At 39.8% G+C, this 12754-nt stretch overlaps 1 protein-coding gene across 17 annotated transcripts in view; it reads right to left on the reverse strand.

Annotated features, from left to right (window-relative positions):
• MPP7 (MAGUK p55 scaffold protein 7) overlaps window positions 1-12754 on the reverse strand; it is a 284211-nt gene that overhangs the window by 198834 nt on the left and 72623 nt on the right. For 6 of the 17 annotated variants that reach the window (XM_047424645.1, XM_047424644.1, XM_047424648.1 and 3 more), the window contains one exon: window positions 4948-5050. The exons of the other annotated variants lie outside the window; for them this stretch is intronic. The gene's annotated coding sequence lies outside the window, so the exon portion shown is untranslated. The remainder of the gene's footprint in view (window positions 1-4947; window positions 5051-12754) is intronic. 17 annotated transcript variants of the gene reach the window in all.

The raw sequence follows: 12754 nt of genomic DNA on the forward strand, positions 1-12754 counted from the left end.
TCTGGAATGGCTCCACTTCTCTTCTCGCATGGAGAAGTCTAGCATGGGCCATTGTTTTAGCCAAGAATGATGTCCTCTTCAACTTTTGTGCACATTTGAAATTTTTGTTGATGAAAAAAGTGTCCTTTTCAACATTTTGATTTAAAATGTAATAGCATTTACTATATATCCATCTCTTGAAAGTCTCAAAAAAAAAAAAAACTGTAGAAAGAAACTATTATATAACCACAAATTACTAACAGTAAAAGCAAGCCTTTGTGGTTCTCCTATTGGATGTAACAGAACCCATTATCTATACCACCAAATTCTAACTTTCCTGATTTTATTTCCCTAAACATCTCTCTCCTAACATCCTTTGTTTTGGAGAGATGCTCAATAGAGTATTTAGGGGTGTCAAGTAATGGTGTCTGTAATTTATGCAAAAATACTTCAGCAGAGAGGCGGAGGAGAGGGAGAGAGAACATATGGCCAAATGTCATCTGTTGCTGGATCTAAGATGGACATATGGGTATTCATTGTACTATTCTTTCTACTTTTCTATATATCTTGAAATTTTTATGCTAAAACTTTTTTAGGGGAAAAAAAGAACTTCCACATCTCCCAGCCTCTTATATCCCAGAATTATGTGCCTTCTGAGAACCCTAATAAGCCCATCGGCAAACACAGTAATCCTCAAATTGGTCTGTTCCCACCTCCAACCCATCCTACACAGGCTGCCAGCATCATCTTTCAAAGATCCTTACGTGATCACTTGACTACTCTAAATAAACGAGCTGATGATTCAACCGCACTTTCATGATAAAGTTTAAATTCCTTAAATTGAGACATGCTCTTGGTCCTTTCTTATTGCTTTCTTTGCAAAAATCACACCAACACCCTCTCTCAAGTTTTCTATAAAACTACAACCCTGAACACACTGTGTTATTTCATGCTTCTTTGAATTTGATCACTCTAGTTCCTCTGCCTGCTTCAAAATATAGGTTTAATTACATGTATGTTACCACACTGCCTAATGAGGAGCCTGTGAGCAAAAAGGATCATAATAGTAAGTATAGGTGTCAACAAAGTCTAATCTATAAAGTCATACAGTCTTTTTCAAACCTGCATATGACTATTCAGCAATTCCTTTCAAATTCAGTAGAGGGTGCCATGATTTAATTTTTAAAAGGAAAATGGAATTCATGTTAACAAAGGCAACTTTCACAAGCTTTAGCTGATGTGTTAAAGCTATAAAAAATATATTTCTAATAAGTAAGGAATGTGAAACTAAAAATAAACACCCAACATTGTCTTAATCTGAACAAATAACATATTTTTGATTTAAGAAAGAACCATATAAGAATACATCAAAATTCTGGTTGGGCACAGCGGCTCAAGCCTGTAACACCAGCACTTCGGGAGGCCGAGGTGGGCAGATCACTTGAGGTCAGGAGTTTGAGACCAGCCTGGCCAACATGGTGAAACCCCATCTCTACTAAAAATACAAAAATTAGCCAGGTGTGGTACATGCCTGTAGTCCCAGCTACTCGGGAGGCTGAGGCAGGATAATTGCTTGAACCCGGGAGGCGGAGGTTACAGTGAGCCGAGATCGCACCATTGCATTCCAGCCTAAGTGACAGAACAAGGCCCTGTCTCAAAAAAAAATTAAAAAAATAAAATAAAATAAAAATTCTAATTGTGATTATACCCTCTGAACCAACAATAGCTTGTAGGAATACACCCTAAGAAATAATCATACAAGTATGCAACAATGAGCCAATCAATCTACTGTAAAATATAACAGAAAAGTGTTCAAGTTTTTAAAGAAAGTATCTTCATTGCAGAGTTACTACTTCACTTCACTCACAATATCAACACAGAACTGATGCAGGCACAGGTATTCCGACTTCAATACACCAACACAGGAGGCCTCTATTCCCTGGCACCTCTTTATTCACTTTTGCCATTTAGCCAGGCAGGATAGCACACACCTGTAGTCCCAGATACTTGGGAGGCTGAGGTGGGAGGATTACTTGACCCCAGGAATTCAAGACCAGCCTGAGCAACACAGTAATGACCCCCATCTCTAATATATGTATACTTAACAACAACAAAAAAAAACTTTTTCCATTTGTTTCACTTTGGGTCTTCTAATCTATACTTTCCTACGCTAATTCCTGGTCCATTTTTAGTTTTTCTTTTGCAGTTTCAGAAAGGTGCTAACAATCAGCAGTGACTACACTTGAGACAAGACAACAGACCTCAAATTATCGGTTACTGCCAAAATCAATCTTTTCATTTTGTGACTTAGCTTATACATTGCTTAGTTATCAAATGCTTATCAAACTCCTGTGATTAGCAAAGTACTATGTCAGGGGTATAACAAAAAATATCAAACTATAAACATAGTAGATTTCATTATCTTAAGATCAATTTCACTTCCAAAATTCAGAATCTATGAGTCTAGATTGTATTCTGCCGTTTTACTCATTAACTTCAAGGATTTGGGTAAACGGCGACATGTCACACACTCAGAGTATTCCATAGTAGGGCATTCCCCCACAGGGGAATCACTGCTACAATCACTGCTCAATTTCTTCCTTACCTGAAAGGAAGCCAAGATGGTACTGAACAAGAATGGAACCACCACAGTACATAGGCATTTATTTAGCTTTCTGTGAAGCATTAAAAAATCAGATATTGCTCAAGCCTGGGTTGTAATATGAGGAAACTGGCATTAACCCTCATGCATTCAGTCTCTCCATCTAGGTCCCCCGTTTTCTAGATACTCTCACTGTTTTCTTCAATATGTGAAAAGGCAAGAAGTACACCTGTATCTAACATCATACAGAGGCGTTAAAAGGCAACCAGATGAGATTTTTTTTTCCATCTTGGCAAAATCAACTCTTCATAGCGGACATTCAACAGGCTCTTAGAACTGTTTGAAATTTGAACCTATTTAAGTAACATCAACCAGCAAATATTTCTCCTGATAATAAAAGCTTCCATTTCTGACATCCACGTGTGGCAGAAATTCCCACTCCTTAACAGCTGCAAGTTTATTCTCTGTGTCCTAGAAAGGGTCTTTTCTCATCTGCATTTCTTTTTTTTTGGGAGGGGGGGGCGGAGTCCCACTGTGTCACCCAGGCTGGCATGCAGTGGCACTATCTTGGCTCACTGCAACTTCTGCCTCCCTGGTTCAAGCGATTCTCCTTCCTCAGCCTCCCGAGCAGCTGGGACTATGAGCACGCACCACCATGCCCAACTAATTTTTGTATTTTTAGTAGAGATGGGTTTTCACCATGTTGGACAGGCTGGTCTCGAACTCCTGACCTCGTGATCTACCCTCCTCGGCTTCCCAAAGTGCTGGGATTACAGGCGTGAGCCACGATACCCGGCCTCATCTGCATTTCTTTAAAGATCAGAATGGTTTTTGATTCTTGGTAAAAGATGAGCTGGCAAGTGGGAAATTACTGAAATGCCAAGTAGAGTTGCCGGCCAAATATGAGCTGGGGAGTTTAAGACTAACGAGGATTTAGAGCTTTAAAGGTTGCTGAGTAAGCTCAAGTAGTGAGCCCGACAAATGTAAAACAGAAAAGGAGCCTACAAAAGATGGACTGACTTCTCTGCAGCCGGAGAACCAGGGCCACACTCCAGGTTTGGATTAATCAGAAAGAGGAAAAATAACAAATCTGTGCTAACACTATTTCAACATCAAGGAAACCTACAAGCATCAGGATGTAGAAACAGTGTTTACTAATATATTTCCTTATAGTTGATAGGTCCTATGTAGATTCGTGAAAAATCATCTTCCTTAATTTCTGCACATTACACAAGGACAACCAAGTAATTGTTCCTACTTGACTGCTCAAGACATCATTTCTCAATTATTAAAAAGACATACTTTTGGCCAGGCACGGTGGCTCATGCCTGTAATCCCAGCATTTTCGGAGGCCAAGGCGGGTGGATCACTTGAGCTCAGGAGTTCAAGACCAGCCTGGTCAACATGGCAAAACCTCGTCTCTACTAAAGATACAAAAATTAGCCGGGTATGGTCGGGGGCACCTGCAGTCCCAGCTACTAGGGAGGCTGAGGCAGGAGAATCACTTGAACCTGGGAGACACAGGTTGCAGTGAGCTGAGATTTCACCACTGCACTCCAGCCTGGGATACAGAGAGAGAGTCTGTCTCACAAAAAAGAAAAAAAAAAAAAAAAAAAAAAAAAAAGACATACTTTTGCTATATCCATTCTTATGGGAATTACATTCAATTGCACTATAATCTCCTTGAATTAACAAAATGGGACAATGTTTCAAAAGATTCTTTTTACTCTCCTCTAAACCATTTGAGAATATTTCTAAAGCCATTAATTTCACAAACTAGCCAAGATTACTGAGAAAAATCATAGCTGTACAAGTTCTGAAAATCTTGCTGAATATAACTATCTTGTGGTCCAAGGGCTGTATTTCTTTGCCTGAATCCCTGAATTATAAATGGCTATAAAAAGAAAACAGGAAAGAAAAGGGCCCAACAAAATAAAAGGTTCCCAAGTGAAAAGTAATGATGTTATATTGTAACAAACATTTTGGTGACTGGGATTACCTGAAACCTCTGGGCTCCTGCTCTGAAGTACTAATTTGCCAAAAGCATGGCAAATCCAACTCTTAAAACAGTACTGACTCATCCTGAGTTCACAGCTTGATCTTATCTATTTTAATATCAAGGAATCCAAGATTTGCTATGCCTCATATCATAAATGAAAAGGAAATACTGAAGATAATTACTTAAAACCTATCCAACAGAATTATCTTCGGTGTAAGTTTTAAGTATAATGCAGATAACCACAATATAGATTTATCTCAAAATGAAAACCTGGGCAGATGATATTTAACTGAGTAATTATGTTATCTGCACTCTAGATAGGAAGGGCTGAGAGGAAAAACAGGGAGAAACTTGCCATCTTACTCACCCGCAGTGGAGTGCTGGCTGTAAATCAAGTCGGCCTGCCCAAACACACACAGGACTTAATGACGACCTCAGTGAGAGCAGTTGAGTTTATGCAGTAAGGAAATCTGCACAAAATTAAAGGGAAAACTACTGAGGCCCCACATGGACATAATCGCTACAGACCGTGGATGTGAAAATGATGACATAATGGTGGGGAGTAGGATTCCAGTAGGAAGCTAATAATAAAAATACATTTGTTATAAAATGGAAACTAGAAGTTACTGAATTTCTAGCATTTTCCCCTGTTGTTCTCTAAATGTATGCACTCACTCTAACATAGTGCAAACATACTTTGAAAAAACAAATGTAAAGAAAAGGGATAGGAACTCATCTTTTCTGTCACCCAGGCTGGAGTGTAATGGTGCTATCTCAGCTCACTGCAACCTCTGCCTCCCAGGTTCAAGTGATTCTCCTGCCTCAGCCTCCCGAGTAGCTGAGATTACAGGTGCCCGCCACCACGCCTGACTAGTTTTTGTATTTTTAGTAGAGACGGGGTTTCACCATGTTGGCTAGGCTGGTGTCAAACTCCTGACCTCAAATGATCCACCCTCAGCCTACCCAAAGTGCTGAGATAACAGGCGTGAGCCACCGCCTGGCCCACCTTTTTCTTTTTTTTTTTTTCTGCAACGGAGTCTCACTGTCACCCAGGTTGGAGTGCAGTGGCGTGATCTTGGCTCACTGCAACCTCCGCCTCCTAGGTTCAAGCGATTCTTCTGCCTCAGCCTCCCAAGTAGCTGGGAATACAGGCACGTGCCACCATGCTCAGCTAATTTTTAGTAGAGTCAGGGTTTCAACATGTTAGCCAGGATGGTCTCAATCTCCTGACCTCTTTATCCACCTGCCTCAGCCTCCCAAAGTGCTGGGATTACAGGCATGAGCCACTGTGCCCAGCCCATCTTTTTCTTAATTCTACATATTTGTTACTGAAATATAGTTTCCTAGTCAATTTTAACAAACAAAATTCCAATCACAGAGTGCAATGAAATACCTATGAGGATCCAGGAGCACTCTCAGGTTTATGGACTAACTATGAATATGTCAAGTACTCATTAGTGGTATCCTAAAAAGTTTGTAGAGAGGCACTGGGAGGTGAAGAGGAGAGGGAAGAGACCATAGTATGAGTGTTTTACTTCCTTTATACTTAGTGAAATATACTTCATACAAATCATCCTTTGGAACTCATGGAATACCCTGAAAATTCTACTATCTGGAAAGACATACATGGTTAATTTTCTTTGCTCTGACAATCAAAACTGTGCCTACCTGAGGTCAACAGTATACTAGGAGTGTGAAAAGGGAAATTTTGGAATATGGAACAACTTTGGAGAGGGAATTTCTAGATAGGGAGGATATGAAGACAGCAGCGGCTCAAATGGCAGAGAGAAAAGTTACCAAGGTCAAACACCACTACCCAGACACTTTCTATATAAAAGACCTATGCAGATGCTGTAGCTAAACCATTAGGACTACTGCCCTGCAACTCCACATTGCCATACATTTTCAGTTGCTTTCAGGGAAAAAAAAAAAAAAAAAGCCTATTAATTCTAATATTAATATGAATTCCAATAACAGATTAAATGCACCCCCAGAAAAATACTCCAGCCAAGATTCTACTTCTAAGAATTTCACTGCAGACATAATTCACACAGGTAAACAAATATATATATGTGCAAAAAAACTGACTAAGCATCATTAGACAGGAAAAAAAAGTAATGACCTAAAATGTTCATCAATCAGGCAATGGTTTTAAAAAATAATAATAATGAAAAGTGGCACAGGGAGGAGGATGGGATATAAAATTGGACTCGTTTTTAGGCTATAATCTTTCTACCTTTCTTATTTCACAATGAGTATTTATTCAAGTCTTACGTATATAACTAAGAACAGAAAAATCATACATTCTATTAATTTTTTAAAATTCAAATGGCAATCATGGCCCACAGTTCCACTGTAAGTCTCAAAGCCTATTTAATCTATCATTGTACGCCATCCATTTATATGAGAATCTGTGTGTCTTTCTCCTCCATTAGACTATAAATTCCTTAAGAACCAAGACAAATAATAAGTCATCTTCCCCCATGCCCAGTACAGAGATGCTCATTCAATGTATGCCGAGTGAGTAAATGAAGAGACAAATTCCTATTTGATCTAAGCCTCTGCAGGTAACCACAGTTGGCTACAGTCATGATTACAAGTGCTCTGAGTTATGTCAGCCTGACCCACAGAAAGGAGAAAGATAGTTCTCAGAAACAGCATAAGTTTCAACATATTCCACAATCCCTGAGAAGGTTCTAGGCTACCTACATCAAACCTATCCCTTTCCAAGATCACCCACAGATTAAAACCAATGACAGCAGTTGAGATGTCACAGTATTAAAAAGCAACAAGCGCAATTCAGCGTTTCATGTCATGACACGAACTGGAAATAATATCATTTATCTGGTGCCTGGGAGGGAAGGTCTGAGCTTGGTGAAACCAATCAAGTATGTCTTCCTTATATTCTTTAATTATGATAAGGAAACTGAAAACCAACATATTAAGGAAGATATTAAACACAGAATTTATATAAAACTCCCAAAGAAAACCTTCTCAGATATCTTCATAGAAAATAAAGCTTGTTCATGTCCTTTGTAGGGACATGGATGAAATTGGAAATCATCATTCTCAGTAAACTATCGCAAGAACAAAAAACCAAACACCGCATATTCTCACTCATAGGTGGGAATTGAACAATGAGATCACATGGACACAGGAAGGGGAATATCACACTCTGGGGACTGTGGTGGGGTGGGGGGAGGGGGGAGGGATAGCATTGGGAGATATACCTAATGCTAGATGACGAGTTAGTGGGTGCAGCGCACCAGCATGGCACATGTATACACATGTAACTAACCTGCACAAAGTGCACATGTACCCTAAAACTTAAAGTATAATAAAAAAAAAAAAAAAGAAAAGAAAGCTTGTTTCCATGAACGTAACTCTTTTTTATAACAGGTTCTATGTCTGTAATAGCTACATGCAATTCCTGATCAATACAATGTGATATCTCCACATTTCTGACAAACCCCCATGAACATTAAATTTTGTTTAATGGGGGGCTCTGTTTTGGCTTCTCAATGAGAAAAGGGCAGACATTCTGCGGGGAGTAAATATAATCATTTCTAGGTAAGGTATTACAGTCCTGTGCTGACACCTTACAGTACACAAATAACATAAACATACACATCTGCAGAACTTGACAATATTGAGTATTTATGCAGCTATTATTTCACACTTAACCCACACCTTCTAAGGTAGGTTACACCTCCATTCCATCCTTCCCATCCCAGATTCTATAAGAAGGGGACAGACACAAGTCTAGAACCCGATGTTCCTTCCACTTCGTCACACTCCTGTCACCTTTTCAAGTAGAGTCAAGGTGAGACCACCAAGAAGACAAGAAAGGTTAAAAAAAAAAAAAGGCATTGCTGCTATTAATACCAAAAGTCTACAGTTTGCCTATATATACTACTATCTAGTAAATTTCCTATTATACTTAGGACTGATAAGATATAAATAACATATTAAATATTATATATATATATATATATATATAAATTTTTTTTTGAGACAGAGTCTCACTCTGTCACCCAGGCTAGAGTGCAGTGGCATGATCTCAGCTCACTGAAACCTCAGCCTCCCAGATTCAAGCAATTCCCCTGCCTCAGCCTCCCAAGTAGCTGGGATTACAGGCATGCCCCACCACACCTGGCTAATTTTTGTATTTTTAGTAGAAACAGGGTTTCACCATGTTCACCAGGCTGGTCTTCAACTCCTGACCTCAAATGATCTGCCCACTTCAGCCTCCCAAAGTACTGGGATTACAGACTTGAGCCACCGCGCCTGGCCTAAATATATATTTAAATAAAATATATTACATTTTACTCCTATTAGTTTTACTAAATGGCAATTACAGGTATCCAAAGAACATTTACTGAGCAACCACCAGGCACTATGCTAGAATCAGAGATATCACAGTGTATCTCCTGTCTCTACTCCTGTGGAGTGGGAGAGAGAGCTCTCCACACAGTGGAAAAACAGAAATCCCTATTTCTGTGAAAACACCAAGTTATTACTGCACTAAACAGCTGCTAAAGGGAAAAAAGAAAGAGCCTTTGTGTAACATGTCTCAGAACTTTTACTCAGAGAATGAGAAGGCTCAGGACTCAAACTTACAGGTGAAACTGCACCTCTAATGTAGACAGCCCACCACCATTCATCCTCCACCAGGTTTTTTTTTAACTCTAAAATATATTAATGAATTTAAACAGAAACAGCTGTTTATCAGTCACCTAAATTAGTAGTTCTCACACTTTTGATCATTCATATGCCAGCCTCACAATTTTTACATTACATACAAAACTACTTTTTTACTTAACAATTTTCTTACACAGAGTTATTTTATTTAAATACCTATTTTAGACTCCTTTTAAATACCTACAGTGAGGCCAGGTGCAGTGGCTCACACCAGTAATCTCACCACTTTGGGAGGTCTAGGCCAGCGGATTGCTTGAGCTCAAGAGTTCGAGACCAGCCTGGGCAACATGGTGAAACCCTGTCTCTGATAAAAATACAAAAAATTAGCCAGGCGTCATGGTGCACGCCTGTAGTCCCAGCTACTTGTGAGGCTGAGGAGGGAGAATCACTTGAGCCCAGGAGGTGGGACTGAACCACTGCAGTGAGCCGAGATTGCACCACTGCACTCCAGCCTGGGTGACAGAGAGAGACTCCATCAAAAAGAAAAAGAAAAAGATGAGGGGAGGGGGAGGGGAGAGAAGAGAAGGATGCAGGGAGGCAGGAGATGAGTTAGTTATGTTTTCTAATATGCATGAAAATAAAAGCATATGGGCAGGTGCAGTGGCTCATGCCTGGAATCCCAGTACTTTGGGAGGCTGAGGTGGGAGAATCGCTTGAGCCCAGGAGTTCTAGGCCAGAGCGTGGGCAACATGACAAAATCCCATCTCTACAAAAAAATACAAAAAATTAGCCAGGCACGGTGGTGTGCCCCTGTAATGCCAACTGCTCAGGAGGCTGAGGTGGGAGGATCACCTGAGTCCAGGAAGTCAAGGCTGCAGTGAGCCATGATTGTGCCACTGCACTCCAGCCTGGGTGACAGAGCAAGAGTCTGTCACTCTGTCCCCCATAACAAGAAAAGCATAGTGCTTAAAACAAAAACTCTTCATTAGAATACTTCAGAAATAACCCTGCATGTCCATACTTAGGAAACATTGATATTTAACAAAACAAACAAAAACACAGAAAACACTATATTAGCAGCTATTTATAAATACTGTTACAATAATTTTATGGCATTATCATCATCGACATATTTGAGTCCATCCCTCTTTCTACTTGTTAATTAATACATGCTTAATTATCTAAAAAGTATTCAATCATTTCCAGTGGCAATTCATCCATTCCAGTCTCCCTGGCTCTCTATAAATGATCTATGTATTATATTATGTATTAGTCTATATGTATGCATTAGTTAATGATCTGAAGCAGTTATACAAAGCTTCCTTATACCTACAGACTATAAATGGTTCTTTCCTTCAATCACTTGTCAAGATAAAGAAATCTAAAACATATGAAAATACCAGAGACTATATTTAACTATGTTCTAACCAAATAGTATGTTTCTGGCCAGGCATGGTGGCTCATGCCTGTAATCCCAACACTTTAGGAGGCCAAGGTGGGCGGATCACCTGAGGTCAGGAATGAGACCAGCCTGACCAACAGGGCAAAACCCTGTCTCTACTAAAAATACAAAAATTAGCCAGACATGGTGGCACATGCCTGTAGTGCCACCTACTCAAGAGGCTGAGACAGGAGAATCGCTCGAACCTAGGAGGCGGAGGTTGCAGTGAGCCAAGATTGTGCTGCTGCACTCCAGCTTGGGTAACAGAGAGACTCCATCTCAAAAAAAAAAAAAAAAAAAAAAAAATTTTTTTTAAATAGCATGTTTCTTCTGGCACAATTTAAAGTGAAAGTGAAAAGGCTCTGTTTTCTACATGATGCATTTCAACTCAGTGTGAGTTGATTTATTTTATGCCCAATTGATGTTAGAGAAAGAATTCAAATGGTTTTTCCAAGTATGTAAGGTGCCTACAAAATTACACTATAAAATTTATTCTTTAATAGCCTAGTTCTTTACCAAAGCAATTAGTTTTCATAAGTCACTCCAGCAAATCACAAAGCCAGATGGGTCCCCAATTCAATCAATTATCTTTAATCTTTCAACTAAGAAAAATTGCTCTTTATATACTTTGTCTCTGTAGTTCTCTTTCCAGAATTAACCATTTTGGCAGTGATGTATGCTTGTTAGCAAAAGTAGATCCTACACACAGGTGAGAAAACACAGAATTAACTGTGAACACTTTCCTTCCTAGCAAGGTGAGCAGAACACTGAACCATGACTTAACGAAAGACTGCCCAAGTCATTCACTGGGGTGGAACCCTATGGTGTTTATCACAAACATACTTCCCACCAACACGGTGGCTTTGCGCTCCACTGGCCAGTGCTTTTTATATTGAAATGAGTCAAAGACCAGATCCAGCGCAGTCACCATAGTTCCACTAAGATTTAAGCGAGGCAAACCATTGTCCCTGCCATTCTATCCTAAATGTGGTCATAAGTGGGACAGCAGAGAAAGCCACAGTACTTATCCAAGGTTGCAACACCTCCACTCTTCTGCTGACCTCCAAATACATACCTAGGCAGCACAGCCTTCTCCATCAGGTGACCCCAGAGTACACAGAGTGTGGATATCAGACACACCCCAATGACAATGACGTAGAACACCCTCCAATGTAGTACAAGAAACTGATCATACAATATACTCACAAATACATTTCTCTATCCTGAGAGAGAGACCGGTTTATCTCACTTTCTATCTCTCCATTTATAATTTTTGGCCAGGTGCCAATGGCTCATGTCTGTAACCTCAACACTTTGGGAGGCCGAGGCAGGAGGATTGCTTGAGCCCAGGAGCTCGAGACCAGCTTGGGCAACATAACAAGACCCCATTATGGCTCACACCTGTAATCCCAGCACTTTGGGAGGCCGAGGTGGGTGGATTGCTTGAGGTCAAGAGTTCAAGACCAGCCTGGCCAACATGGTGAAACCCCATCTCTACTAAAAATACAAAAAATTAGCCGGGCATGGTGGCGCACACCTGTAGTCCCAGCTACTCAGGAGGCTGAGGCAGGAGAATCGCTTGAACTTGGGACCAGAGGTTGCAGTGAGCTGAGAATGCACCACTGCACTCCAGCCTGGGCGACAGAGCAAGACTCTGTCTCAAAAAAAAGAAAAAGGAAATAAATAAATAAATAAATTATATATATATATATATATATACATATATATATATATATACATATATATATATATATACATATATATATATATGTATATATATATATATATATTTTTTTTTTTTTCTTCACCATGTTGGCCAGGATGGTCTCGCTCTCCTGACCTTGTGATCCACCGGCCTCGGCCTCCCAAAGTGCTGGGATTACAGGTGTGAGCCACCATGCCCAGCCAATAATATAATTTTTGACTGAACTAGTAATTTATAATGAAACTAACAGTATATCCCAAAGAGGCACAATGCATTAAGCCAGTAACTGCAAGTCCTTTTAAAAAGTTGTCACAAATATTTTAGGTTACTACACAGGTGTCATAAATAATACTCTAGTATAAATGGCCTTTGGCCCTTTGGAAGCCA

This window comes from Homo sapiens, chromosome 10 (genome assembly GCF_000001405.40).
Source record: "Homo sapiens chromosome 10, GRCh38.p14 Primary Assembly".
Taxonomy (NCBI): Eukaryota; Metazoa; Chordata; class Mammalia; order Primates; family Hominidae; genus Homo; species Homo sapiens.